A 14,975-nucleotide genomic window follows, 5' to 3' on the forward strand; every position below is an offset into this window, starting at 1 on the left:
TTTATGTGTCTATTAAATGGTCAGCCAAACAGAGACAAATCAAAGTGCTAACGTAAGCCAATTACTTCAGCCTTTGCTCACACCTTTTACAGCAGAAATTTAAAGGCTGAACATTTTCTACAAAAGTTCCTGGGTGGAACTTTTCCTCCACTAATTATACAACTAATCTTTGATGTGACACAAGAAAGGTTAATGAAATAATTTTAAAATAGAAAGTCATGGTTGATAACCTATACACATTTTTGCTTAGGTGATCTACTTATTTGTTGATCACTTTTCATAGTGCCTGTGAAACTGACTTGCTGTTTATTGGGTTTAAACTAATTGAGTAAAATCTCCAACATTCTAACTTTTGCTTACCAGGAAAATCCTTACTACACAGAAAGCCACACTGAAAAACTCGTATCCACTCTAGCTCACTTGTCTCTAAGGTGTGAGGACAAATTTTTTTTTTAAGTAGGAACAGAGTCAAAACAACGCAATAAAATATCTGTGTTATTTGCATATATTTCTCCTACACCACCGGAAGTCTTTCATTTCAACAGCTGCTTCCCAACCTCTTTTTGAAGTCAAGCAACACATTGTAATTGTAGGCAGCATCCATGTTCTTAACAGAAATTTAGACAACCCAATACATTCATGGGAAACATACACATGTGGAAACATCTGAAATCACTTGGCAATATGTACAATAAATCCCACATATTCTACGTGTCAACCTAAGAATTTAATTTAGACACAATAACCTTTTACTTTTAAAAAAGCTTCTACTTGCATACCTTCATAAAGTGAAGAATGGTCTTTGAAACATCTCTACAATATGACTCTTAATCCTGGTGTTGAGATGCAAGATGTGAAACCAACCACCTCAAAAGGAAACCGTAAAACACCACTACCACAATCACCACCACCACCTCCTCCTCTAAATGCTCATTCAGTTTAATTACAAAAATAAATATACTGCACTCTCACAAGAGAGTAAGGGAGTCAATGAATGAAGCCATGACTGTCTTTTAACCACAGACCCTTGTAAAATTATTCCCTAAAATTGTAATTCTCTGACTGCTTTGATATATTGACCATCTGAATTGTGTAAAGCCATGGTCCACTGACATGAATTAGGTTGCTTTAGGCCCCCCAAACTCTCTAGAATTACTAAGAAGGAGGAACATTACAAAACATCAGCAAGACAGAACAGCAGTGAAGTGTGGATACGGTTGTGTAGAAAAAGCGTTAGATTTGGTATCTTAAGTCTGGGGTTTTTAACCCGACACCCCTGCACCCCTGCACCCCTGCACCAGGATTTGCAAAGTCATTTAACACAACTGAGCCTCAATTTCTCTAGATATAAAATAAGTAAGGTTGATGAAATCATCTTTAGGATCCCTTTCAGTTATAAAAACCCTCCATTTTTAATAATATGTGTTACCTTTTAATAGGTAACACATTTATTTAGATAGAAAAGAAAAAAAGATAAAAATGGTATTGTTACACGTCATGTCTACCTTCATCCCTTATGCCACATTCCCCACCTCTGTCCCTCATACCCCAAAAACACTAATAATTATTCTCATTATTTTCTTATGTAACTACAAAAATATAAGCAAACACTCATAGGTACTGTTTTGCCTCTTCTCTAACATAGGAAGTGTCATACGATACCTACTGTACCACTCACAGTGTATCTTGGACAGCCTTCCACATCAGTTCATAGAGACGTCCCTCATTCTTTTCAACAATGGCACAGATCTCATTAGAAGGATCTCCAAAGTCTATTTAACCAATATCCTACTGATAAGTACTTGAATTTTTCCACTCTTTTGCTATTGTAAATAATGCTGCAAAAAAAACAAACTTTTATGCAGATGATCTCTACATTATAACTTAAGGGGAAATTTCCAGAAGTGGAATTACTGAGTCAGTGGGAAAATAAAAGTTTAGCAAAATCCACCAAACTGCCTTCCACACAGCTTGCACCTTCCTGCACTCTCAACGGCAATGTCTAAGAATCTTTATTCCTCCACCGTCTCACCAAGCTGAGGTTCTCCTGTTCCTTCTCCTTGGGATTTCTGTCTCATCTGATAAGCAGACACCACTTCAATAGGATTTCTCTTCATCTGTGTTTCTCTTATTATGATAAGTTTGCCCAAGAGTCACTGAGCTTCTTGTATTGTGTGCTCTTCTGAGGTTATTCTTTGTCCACACTCCTGTAAGTTGCTGGTCTTTTTCTTACTGGTTTACGAGTAAAAATTCTACTATTTCAAGAAAACATTCCTGAACTAATGATATTTACCACATTCTTGAATGATATGGTTTGGCTGTGTCCTCACCCAAATCTCATCTTGAATTGTAACTCCCACAATTCCCACATGTCACGGGAGGAACCTGGTGGGAGGTGATTGAATCACGGGGGCAGGTCTTTCCTGGCTGTTCTCCTAACAGTGAATAAGTCTCACGAGATCTGATGGTTTTAAAAACAGGAGTTTCCCTGCACAAGCCCTCTCTTTGCATGCTGCCATCCATGTAAGACGTGACCTGCTCCTCATTGCCTTCCACCATGATTAGGAGGTTAACCCAGCCGTGTGGAACTGTAAGTCCATTAAACCCCTTCTCCTATATAAATTACCCAGTCTCAGGTATGTCTTTATGAGCAGCATGAGAACAGACTAGTACACTGAACTAATGATATTTACCACTTCTTGAATGCTTTAATGGTTTAAAAAGAGTTATAGTTTCTTATTGGAAGGTACTAGCCACCATTACTCAATATTCTACTTGATGTGTAGTATGTATTTGCATATAATATCCATGAAGAAATATTCTTTTGAGTTTCTGAAAAAGAAAATTTCACTTTCAACAAGAGAAAGGAATGGTTTGGAAGAATGCATGAAGAGAATTTTACCTTACCAAATATCACAAATATTTGGATAAAAGAGAAGAAATGATCATAACTAAATATTATGTATAAAAAGCTTAAAATATAAAAATATTTAATTTTATATCTTTGTACAGTCCTTTCATTGAATGTTTAACAGTTCAGTTGCATTAATGTAAAACAATTTTCTTAATATCATAAAACTCAAGTATCCAAATAGGCACATCCATTTTCCTGGTGAACTTCTAAGCTATGTCAATGATCTTTTTATGTAATTCATAGAAAATGTATCTTAAAATTCTGAAAACATTGACAACTATGAAACCTCTGCCATAATGGAGTGATCAAGCAGCCAAAATGCTGATATAAATACTTTTCCTTTTTTTCACTCAATGAGGAAACAGCCAACCATTTTTTCAAAATTCTTAAATATAATAGATTCTAATACTATTGAGGAATAAGCAAAGTCTAACCAAGTAGCATTTACATATCTAGAAAAAGTTTTCCTTCAATGACACAGGACCCATTCCCCACACATACTTCCATGAGAAAAGTCCAAAGGAAGCAAAGGAAGATGGCCCACAGGGTGTTCAAACTCTACAGGACCTATGGCTAATTCCACAGCAGCGAAGGACTTCCCACCTACTACCAATAGGTCGTTGATAATATGACTCCCCCAAGGCCATATTAAAGGGATGAGAATCCTTCGACTCATTTTAACTCTGCTGGCACCTGGGGACTCCCACAGGTGTCTCCACTGGACAGTCTTGAAAACTGAAGCAGTGATGTGGCTCAGGGTGCAAAGCCAGTGTGTACCAACAGAGAAACAAACACCAAGGCCTCCTGGAGTCCTCACCGCTACCAGGGGACACAGTCCCAGGACCCAAGCTCTGCCTGGAGACCTACGATCCAAATGACCCTGCGCAAGTTATATAAACTCTCTGTGACTTAGATTCTTCATAGTTCACTTTGAGGAGTGAATGAATTAGGCATTAAAAACAGTGACTGGTAAACTGTGTTCTGTGTAAGTTTACCATATACCATTAGGCGGAACTCCATGACTGCACAACTTTAACCCAAAGAGTTGAAAGCTGAAATGGAAATATTCAAAAGCATCTCCTCCGTAAGGACAAATATGGGGAAAAATGAAGATAAAAGCCCAGCAGAGTACAGTCATAGTAAAGGTAAGCAGGCAGGCACCATTAAATGATGTAAACAGACTGGCGAGGCCACCAGGCAAGATGGGACTCAACCTGTGGGAACTGCATGATTCTCCCAATAGGGTTAATGTCCCAAGCAATCCAATCCCTAGAGATCTGGAAAGGTTAGTACAAAACCCCTTATTATTTAAGTTTGTCTGTTAAAATCCTCCCCAATAAGTTTACTTTTCTCATCTTTTTCCAATTTTCTTCTTCTTACTATACCTTTATTATTCTTCTCTTAGTCTCACCTCTCATCTTACTGCTTTCTTCCTGAATAAACCTGACCTATAGAGGACAACAAACCACACTGGTAAACTCTAAGACTGGCATTCACTAACAATGTGGTTCTTGAATCCCAATTTAAAATTATTTTAATGCATCCTGGCTCCCAGTGTAATTATTTTAAAGTATTATAGCATCTAATTGTCGGATATCTGAAAGCAAATTGACTCTGGAGAAAGCTTAGCTCGCTGGAAATAAACACTCTAAAGAAATGCTTCACCAACATTGTGTTACATTTGTAAAGCCACTTCTCAGACACTTTCAAGTCTTTGAGCTCAATCACTTAGCAATGCTGCACCCTCTAAGTCTACACAATAGCAGCACATCTGCCAATAATGCGGTAACGGATGGGGAAACTCCTGTGGACAGAAGTGAGAAGCCCAAGGCCACTCGCCTCGCCAGGGGATGGAGCTGTAACTGACACCTATGTCAAGCTGATGAAGAACGCCCTATTTCTACTACATCTAAACCCTTTACACAACCAGCCTCCCCAGATTAATGCAGGTGTTACTTCAATGACAGTAAGACACCCTCCTGAATCTCCAGACCCTGCATACCTTCACAGAATACAAACCTTTGGGAGGAGTGAGGCTGACTCCATTTTTAAGGCACCACTGTACTGGCAAAATCCCCAAAGAATCTGCATGGCACAGCATTGACAGTTTACTTGGTTCAGGTCTTAGGTCATCAATAGTCACTTGAAAAAAGTGATTGTTAAAAACCTAAAAGAAAAAAAATGGGGGAGCCAAAGGTTAATTCTTTAGAGTTACATATAATGCTAGTATAAAATAGTGGCAGAGCTTCCAAAGGCAATTAATATAGTTCATCAAAATGATTTGAATACAAACTGGCATTTTCAATGTCCATTACTAAATTAATTCAGCTGATAAAAAGTTAGAATTGACTGCTGTGGTCCTATTAATGAAAAGATAAATAACTAGGTTATCTGGAAGAGTGAGAATGAACAAAATCAAAGACTTAGAGAAGTCAACCAATGGCTATAGCTTGAAGAAAAATGAATGGAGGAAGTCAGACAGACAAACCCCAGCTTAGATGACAGCCAAGACAGGAACTGAAAAGTGAAACCGTTTCTCAGTGTCCACAGCCAGCACCAAACTCTTTACACCAGATCACTCAAGAATCTCCAAGATCTGGCTTGGAGCTTTCTAGCCTCCTCCTGCACCTTTTCCCTCAGAACACCCCACCCTCCAGCCCGAGAGGAAATCGTTCACACTAAGCCTCATGGACTACAACAACCCCCAATGCCATGTTTAAGCTATCAAAACACAGTGCGTTTTCAAGGTACATCTCATATTTCAATGCTTCTGATCTGGCTGGAATAAACCGCCCTCACTCTGCGCTCCTAAAATTTCAGACTTCAACTTCTGTATTGAAAACTCTCATTCCTTCCTAGACCGATTACACATCAGTCTTCCAATGCCATAGAGCATAAGTTATTAGAGGAGAGTGATGTCTTTTTGTTAACACAAGTATTTCCAAATGCATAGAAAGTGCTTTGTACATAGGAACGGGATAAATGTCCACTGAATATAAGAAGAAACATCAATGAAGAAATAAGAACAAGACATGCCGATAAACAAAGCAGAGGGTAAAAATCAGATGGACCATCACTGAAAAGCAAGATGGATTTAAGTAACTTAGTATCTAAAACAGGCCAGAAAAAAAGATCCCTTTCCCAATTCAACAGACATAACCCAGTCTTTCTTAGGAAACCTTGAGAGTTTTACAAAGCTATGATTCCTGGCCCCTTCATTTTTTTTCTGGAAGCAATTTAGTTCAAAGTGAAGCAGGAAAGGAAATTCACTTCTGTTCTTGCCTGTGCTAATTTTGGTAAATAGTTTACTGAAGGTTTGCCTGTGAAAGTCAACTTCAAGCAACAAAGGATCAGATGGGGCCTTCCCAGTGAGGTCATGTCCGAGAGCCCTGTTGAGAATCTCATCCTCCCACCACCTGAAAGGATTATGAAAATCCTTTGACTTCTATCATTTTCACTCTGCTGGGCACCTGGACTCCACTGGACAGTCCTGAAAACTGATGCACGGCGATCTGGCTCAGGGTGCAAAGCCAAGTGCCTACCAACAGGGAAACTAACACCAAGGCCTCCTGGGGTCCTCACTGCTACCGGGGGGCACAGTCCCAGGACCCCAACATCCCTGCCTTGGTGTATTTTTCTCCTTAGCATTTAATATGTAACATACTAGATTTATTTACTTATTGATTCTGTTTATAGTCTGTCTCCCTCCATTAAAATAAAAGCTCCACAATGGGAACATTGTCCAGAATTGAGCCTATGAATGCTCAATAAATATCTGTTAAATTACTGTTATTTAGTCTATCTTGCATATATACACATACACACACATACGTATATAAAGAGCATGTGATTTTGGTGGAGCTGCGGTACCCTGTAAAGAAGGAATTTCCACAACCGTTAAAATGCATGTTCACGTGGGAACACTCCAAAGGAAAAGCTTAGTAAGTTTCATCAAATCCATCAGGGCTCATGTTCCTAAATGGTCTGAAGCACTGTTTTGTGCTCTATCCAGTCCATAACCCACAGGACTCAGAACTAATGCCCAGAGCAGTTAACTGACTTGCCCAAGACTGCACAGCTAAGAGATGGCAGAAACAGAAACAGAACCCAAGGCTTCTAATGCCAGTATCCTTTCCTCTAATCAATACAACACACTTCGCTTACAAAGATGACATCATCACCATCTGCCAGTATCTCAACACCAAAAACACACCCTGGCTGGACTGCTGGAGGTTCATCATTTAATACTGGATCCACTACACGTCTGTCTGCATCCTTGTCTGTTTGTTGTAACATCGTTTACATATTTCTTCAACAGTTATGCCACGAAGAAAAGGCCCAAGGTGGAAAAAAAATGAAATTTTCATTGTGATGAGTAATGACAGCACAGTGTGTTATATTTTCAAACATAATATTCCAAAGTACTTTCCTCATATTTAAAGAAATACATTTAATTATTATAAATATCTTCTACGCTAAGAGTATTCTGATACCTCATTACATGAAGATGAGTCTTGAACCTGGAGAGGTGCCTACCTAGGTTCTAAAAGACAGATGCACATACCCCAATCCATGTGTTATACAAAACATGGTCAATAAGAGGAGGGGTGTATACGAAACGGCATGACTTATTTTATCTTTGCTACAAAGGGTAAGAAAAAGCAAAATAAAAAGGAAAACACAGTTTAGAAATCAGTAAAAATACTTTCTCCCTCCCCTCAATAAGATCTATTTAGAGAAAATTATTTACTGTGAAAAACCAACTATCACTGGAAGTCTATTCAGCTAGAAAAAGAGATTTGGGCTGAAATTAATTTTGATTAGTAGACACATTCTAACATGACATATTACAACTATTTAAAGGCATAAGAATTATTTAAAGGCATAAGAATGTGAGAGAGGCCGGGTGCAGTGGCTCACGCCTATAATCCCAGCACTTTGGGAGGCTGAGGCGGGCAGATCACAAGGTCAGGAGTTCGAGACCAGCCTGGTCAAGACGGTGAAACCCCATCTCCACTAAAAACACAAAATTTAGCCAGGCGTGGTGGCAGGCGCCTATAATCCCAGCTACTCGGGAGGCTGAGGCAGGAGAATAGCTTGAACTCGGGAGGCAGAGGTTGTAGTGAGCCGAGATCATGTCACTGCACTCTAGCCTGGGTGACGGAGCAAGACTCCATCTCAAAAAAAAAAAAAAAAAAAAAAGAATGGTGAGAGACGCTACCGCTGACAGGCTATGCACATCAAGTCTGTTGAGTTTAATTGATAAATACCAGGTGAAGCGACTCTGTAGCGTGATACATCTGCAGACAGATGGGCAGCCGGCATGACTGCAGCACCCACTAACAGAACAAAGGGGAATTCTGGCTGGGATTCAACAGGGCACCACTGGTCCATTTTGGAAAAATATCCGACAACTGACAGGATACACAGTAAAGAACTCCAAAGGCCATTTCAAATAAAAGGTTTTTAACGGATGCTAATCAGGAATACATGACTTTCAACCTCCAGATTATAAAGCAAAAGCCAATATATTTTTCTTTAAATAACCTTAAATATTTAAAGTTTCTTTTTGTTTTTGTTGTTGTTTGTTTGTTTTGAGATGGAGTCTCACTTTGTTGCCCAGGCTGGAGTGCAGTGGCAAGATCTCAGCTCACTACAACCTCTGCTTCCCAGGTTCAAGCGATTCTCCTGCCTCAGCCTCCCAAGAAGCTGGGATTACAAGCATGCACCACCATACCTGGCTAATTTTTGTATTTTTAGTAGAGACGGGGTTTCACCCTGTTGGCCAGGCTGGTCTCAAACTCCTGACCTCAGGTGATCATCCCACCTCAGCCTCCCAAAGTGCCAGGATTACAGGCATGAGTCACTGTGCCCAGCTCCGAAAGTTATCCTTGAAATAAGCTACTTTAATGGTTATAAAAATAATTTATGTTCACTAAAGAAAAAACATTTAGAAAGCATTTCATTTTTATAACCAATTTCCATATTCTGTAATACATTATCACACTACTAAATTCCTCAAGTGTTACCAAATCATAAATTTTTAAAAACTCATGACTCAAGTAACAAACACTAATCACTGCATGAAAAGTGATTTTCCTTAAAGAAAATCCCGTATCTTTAAGAAAAAGAAATTAAAACAGATTTAAATCTTTAATTAAATTCTCCTAGTGAAGTACACAAAAGACCATTCACCAAAACACACATCGGCCAAGAATGTTAAGTTTCCCGCACCATTTGTAAGAGAATACTTAAGGTAGAAACAAGCAATTTTGATTTTACCAGAGGTTATGTCATTAAAACTTCTTTAATGGGGAATGGATATTATACTGGTTTTTAAAATTTTTTTATTGTTTGTAGAGACAGGGTCTCCCTATGTTACCCAGGCTGGTTTTGAACTCCTGGGCTCAAGGGATCCTTCCACCTTGGCCTCCCAAAGTGCTGGGATTATAGATATGAGCCACCATGACCTGCTGGGATATTACAATCTTCAAGGACTAACAGATCATTATAAAAATGTCTTTATGTTAAAAGGTAATTTTATTGTGAATCTGTAGATCTTAGAAGCATGAGTTTTTCTTTAGTCAACAAGGGCAGATGAGAAAAAACACAGAAATGCTGAGAAAAGGGAGATGAGAATTTGCTTTGCACCATTTTCATGTATTTTCCAAGTATAAACAGATCATATTTACTACTACCCATGCAGGAAGAACAAATTACTCTTGTAATGATTACAACCTGCAACTCGTCAGTGGACAACTATCAGAAGACAAGGAAAATTCACCCTATCCATGATAAGAGGGGGCATCTGATTAGAGTCACTCTGTGCCACCAGTAATAAAAACAGCTTAAAGCAGCGCTGGACTGGAAGGGCGGCAATCTTCCTTAGCTTCGCCTGGCATTGCTGATAGCCTTGCACGAACATATGTCATCTGGTCGTCTTTGAGTTGAAAGGCTTAATTTGATCCACTCTAGGGGCTGGGTCGAAGAGCGAGGGAGGAAAACCCACCTTAGTCACCGACGCAGGAGAGATGTAAAAGGGCTCGCACATATTCACTGTCTCAAGCTTCATCCCAACTGTGAAGAAATGGCTTCGCAAATCTGCGTGATCCTGCAGGGAGAAAGATGAAAATATTGAAAGCCACGGTATTGTAAATGACCTCAGCCACTGTCCGGATGCGCTCCTGGAGCATTTTATTGGGCAACCAAAATCTTATGGAGACAATTAACCTTCCCTGTTTCGAATTTCTAATTATTGCCAGATACCACGGATTTAATTATTTTCTGCAGGCTAAATTGCTTTTCCAAGGGAGAGGCAACAAGGCTTCCTGGCCATGCTTAAATTTACACTAAGCAAAAGTTCACATGACACTGCTTTGCTCGTCCTTGGTGCTATTAACTGAAGCACAGCAGAGTAAGGGAGGCAATCTGTCATCCTAACACAGCAGGGTGTCTTCAGAAAACACCAGGTCTCTTGCTACTGGAGTCACATCTCAGGGCTTCAGTCAGCACCTTGTACCCAAGGTCTGCCACCACCTCCCGTGTCTAAGAGCACACAGCTTACCAGTTACTAGAAGTAAGCTGGCACACAGCTCACCGGCACGAGTAAGGGTAGGGGTACTCAAGATCCCATGATCTTAGAGATGCCTGCAGGTAAGAATCCAAACCTGCCCCACAGACGATTAGAACCTGTCTCCTACTCAATAAAGGTGAGCAACACCCCATTCCTAATAGGGGTCTGGCAGTTTTATAACCTGCTTACAGCAACCTTATGTGAGAGAGATGGGGCTTTCCCGCCTCCTAAGATAACAAATTTCAATATCCACTTCAGCTACACAGCAATAGAGGAGGTTGGCTGGACTCTGGATACCAGAATTTATCTTGCGGAGATGGAGGTCACCTCATAACTCACAGTCTGGATAAACAGCAGTGGATAAATGAATGTATTTGCAGTCTGTCCCTGAGGAAATAATACCTGCAAATAAATCCTGCGATTTCCAAATACATCAATTGGGTGTGAAGTACAAAAATATCTGGGGACCTGTTACTTTCTTTTACCTGCAAATCTAAAGTGGGTTTTTAATTACTCCAACGACGCCACTCTATATCCAACTCTGAGGACTGCACAGAGCCCAGTCGGGCAGTGCCTGTTTCCCCAAAGCCCCCAAAAGCTGGTCAGTACCGTCAGCGTCCAAGAGGAGATCAGACTAGAAGAACTGCTTATAAAACTCTCCACCAGTGCACCGAGTTGCCAAGGTTAACAGAATGTAAACGCCTATAGAACTGCATGGACCCTTTCATTTTTCATGTCCCCAGGGCAGTCGGCAAAGGTCTCTGTTTTGGGGGATGCATGATGAATGCTGGGGCCATGTCCAAAGAGGACATTAATCAGAACAAGACAGGATGCGGTCAAATACGACAAAACCCAATCAAAGGAACTGGCCACTCTAAATATTTACAAATTCCTTAAGAACTTACAATCCACACTTTATAAAAATTATATGCAGAAGGAAAAGTACAAGGAAATTAGGTGCAGGTGATGATGTGCATTGTTTATGTTGCAAACAAAGCCTTTAATTTATTTATTTTTAGGTTTTATTTTAGATACAGGGGTACATACACAGGTTTGTTACATGGGCATACTATACTCAGGTAGTGAACATAGTACCCAATAGGTAACTTTTCGACCCATGACTCATTTCCCCCCTCCCCTCTAGTAGTCTCCAGTGTCTACTGGTCCCATGTTTACATCCGTGTGTGCTCAAGGTCTAGCTCGCACTTCTAAGCGAGAACATGAGGTATTTGGCTTTCTGATCCTGCATTAGTTTGCTAACAATAGCGGCCTTCAGCTCCATCCATGTTGCTGCAAAGAACATACTTGCATTCTTTTTATGGCTATGCAATATTCCATGGTATATATGTACCACATTTTCTTTATCCAGTCGATCACTGATGGGCACTTAGGTTGATTCCATGCCTTTGCTATTGTGAATAATGCTGCAATGAATGTGTGAGTGCTTGTGTCTTTTTGATAGAATGATGTGTTTCCCTTTGGGTATACAGCCACCAGTGAGATTGCTGGGTTGAATGGTAGCTGTTTTAAGTCAAGAAATCTCAAAACTGCTTTCACAGTGAGTGAACTAATTTACATTCCCACCAGCAGTGTGTAAGTGTTCCCTGTTCTCCACAGCCTCACCAGCATCTGTTATTTGTTTGACTTTTTAATAACAGCCATTCTTACTGGTGTGAGACGGTATCTCCTTGTGGTTTTGATTTCAAAACATTTATTTTTAAAGGTGGCTGGGGGAAAGCAAATCAGGAAACAGAAGGAATCAAAGGCTACTGTACAGAGAGCGAATGTGGATTAACACACACCAGCCATCATGTCCAGGCAGGGCCAGAAGCCACAGGTGAGGCGCCATCACAACTAAACCAACATTGACTTGCTAGCATCCGAATTCAAAGATTCAAAGTTAATTTGAATGTTTCTAGCACAAAGAAAAGACAAATATTTAAGGTGATATGTATCTCAATTATACTGATTTGATCTTTACAAATTATATGAATGTATTAATCACATGTACCCCAAAGTATGTACATCTATTATGTACCAATAAAAAAAATTAAACATTAAAAAAAAAAAAGATTAAAAGTGGGCTGGACGCAGTGGCTCCTGCCTGTAATCCCAGCACTTTGGGAGGCTGAGGCAGGCAGATCACGAGGTCAGGAGTTCGAGACCAGCCTGGCCAATAAGGTGAAACCCTGTCTCTACTAAAAATACAGAAAATAGCTGAATGTGGTGGCAGAAGCCTGTAATCCCAGCTACCCGGGAGGCAGAGGCAGGACAATCATTTGAGCCTGGGAGGCAGAGGTTGCAATGAGCCGAGATCACACCATTGCACTCCAGCCTGGGTGACAGGGTGAGACTCCATCTCAAAAAGTGAACGTTCCTGTCAGACAACCATGTCCCCAGTACCCATCAGCGGGAAATGAGTCCCGATCACAGCTTTTGCAGGTAAATATCCTTCCCCATTTAAGTATAAACCCTTTCATCTTTGGAAAAGGGGAATTATTATAGAATTATGAAATAATAAAGCGTAGCCTGAATGTACTCAGCAAGTCTAAGCAGTCATTATTATGCTGTTTGACAACTCAGAGGTGCCCTCAGTCACTCCCGGCACATTCATAACTATAAGTGATGGCTAACAGATGAATGTCAGTGTTTCTCAGGAGCCTCCTTCTCTGTGCAGGACCCCTTTCCTCCTGCAGCCTGCCCCTCACCAGCCACAGGCACAGGGTGAGGCATTCCTGAGGTCTGGTGCACGGGGACAAGCATGGGTCTTCTCCCTGGCTGCCTCTATCACCCCGGCTTTCCTGAGAGTCTCTGCTCTAGAGGCATCCTGACAGCCACGGGGCTTCTGGTCTACCCGCCCTCTTCATTCCCTCCATTCCAGATTCTGTGCTTCTCTCTGTTCCACAAAACGCTTGCTCCAACCTTTGCTCTCTGAGTAGAGTCAGCTTTCTAAGCAGGGTTTACCCATAACCCTAAGCCCTTTCTACATCGCAGGCCCTCAACCTGACCTTGACCGCTGACTTGGAGTCTTTAGCCAAATCCACACCCATCTTTTATCTCATACTCCAAGTCCTCTGGGAAGCTCTGTCAATCATAGCTCCCCGTGCTGTGTGGAAACTCTGTGTCCCCAGAAGCCCTGCCCTCTCTGAGGACTTCCTGTGTTCACAGTCATCTAGCAGACACCAGGCAGTGGCTGCCGCTGCTTGGAAATACAGCAGACAGCAATGTGTCCCTGAGATAACCCTATCCACTCAGGGCTGCGGACTGTATTGGAAATGCTTATGGGTAATGACTTCAGCGTCCTCTGCATCTAATTACATCTCTAGGTTAAGAGGGGATCACTTCCACTTCCTGCAGACAACACACAATCTCTTCCTTTTCTCCCAGAGTGTCCTGTGCTCGAACGTCCATCATTAAACTTCCCATCTTTGCTCATCTATAACAATGAACATAAAACATCAAAACCAAGCATGGTGGATGCGGGATGAAAATAAAAATAGCATGACATTAAAATATTCTTAAACAGTTTAAGAATAATGCTCAGTGAGCATTATTCCAAAAATTTTAGAAACTAGTTTCCCCTCTGTCAGTCTTGGCTCAGATCTCCTACAACTTAAATTATTTCTCCCAGGTTTCAGCTGTGTGGTAAATGTATATTGGTCTTTGTCCCTGGTATAGGACTCCTAAATCCTGTGGGATTTCCCAGGTGATAGGAGCTCTTTTGTTCTAATGGGTCCATTCTTGATGGGACCCTAAACAGCTTCAGGGTGGGGGCTCGTGTCCAGAAAGCCCAAGGCATAATTAGAGAGGGTTGTAAGTTCTTTTCCACCCCACACCCACTAGGGAGGGGAGAAGAGCTGGATATGGAGCTCATTACCAATGGCCAAAGATTTAATCAATCGTGCCTACATAATGAAACTCCCATGAACACCCTAAATGACAGAGTTGGGGTTTTTCAAGTTGATGAACACTTCCATGTGCCAGGAGGTGGGGGCACCCCAACTCCACAGGGCCAGAAGCCCCTGTGCCTGGGACCCCCTTCCAGCCCTCACCCCGGGCACCTCTTCCATTTGGCTGTTCATTTGCATCCTGTATGGTACCCTTTACAATAAACAGGTAATAGTAAGGAAACTGCTCTGTGAGGCCTTCTGGAAAACTATCAAATCCAAGGAGGGGGTTTCAGGAACCCTAATTTATAGCCATCAAGTACAGGAAGCCCAGGACTTGTAACTGGCATCAAAGTGGAGGCATCTTATGGTACCGAGCCCTTCACTTGTGGGGTCTGCACTGCTTTCAGACAGTGTCAGAAATGAATTAAACTGCAGGATATTCACTTGCTGTCCAGAGAGTTGAAGAACTGGTTGGTGTGGAAAAAACCCACACATGTGATGTTAGAAGTGTTGTGGGTAAAAACAGTTCGTAAGTTATAGTCAAGACACTTCTTACTCACAGAAATGCATCTGTTTTTCCTTCCAAACTACACAAAAC

The 14,975-nt window shown here is 41.1% G+C and overlaps 1 protein-coding gene across 12 annotated transcripts in view; it reads right to left on the reverse strand.

The window, feature by feature from the left end:
• Positions 1-14,975, reverse strand: part of SFMBT2 (Scm like with four mbt domains 2) — a 252,867-nt gene that overhangs the window by 80,001 nt on the left and 157,891 nt on the right. For all 12 annotated transcript variants that reach the window (NM_001029880.3, NM_001387890.1, NM_001387889.1 and 9 more), the window contains 2 exons: positions 9,924-10,025; positions 4,934-5,081 (listed from right to left, as the gene is read on the reverse strand). In NM_001029880.3, the coding sequence (NP_001025051.1) occupies positions 4,934-5,081; positions 9,924-10,025 (250 nt within the window). The remainder of the gene's footprint in view (positions 1-4,933; positions 5,082-9,923; positions 10,026-14,975) is intronic.

The sequence above is a fragment of the Homo sapiens genome, chromosome 10 (genome assembly GCF_000001405.40).
Source record: "Homo sapiens chromosome 10, GRCh38.p14 Primary Assembly".
In the NCBI taxonomy this organism is placed as follows: domain Eukaryota; kingdom Metazoa; phylum Chordata; class Mammalia; order Primates; family Hominidae; genus Homo; species Homo sapiens.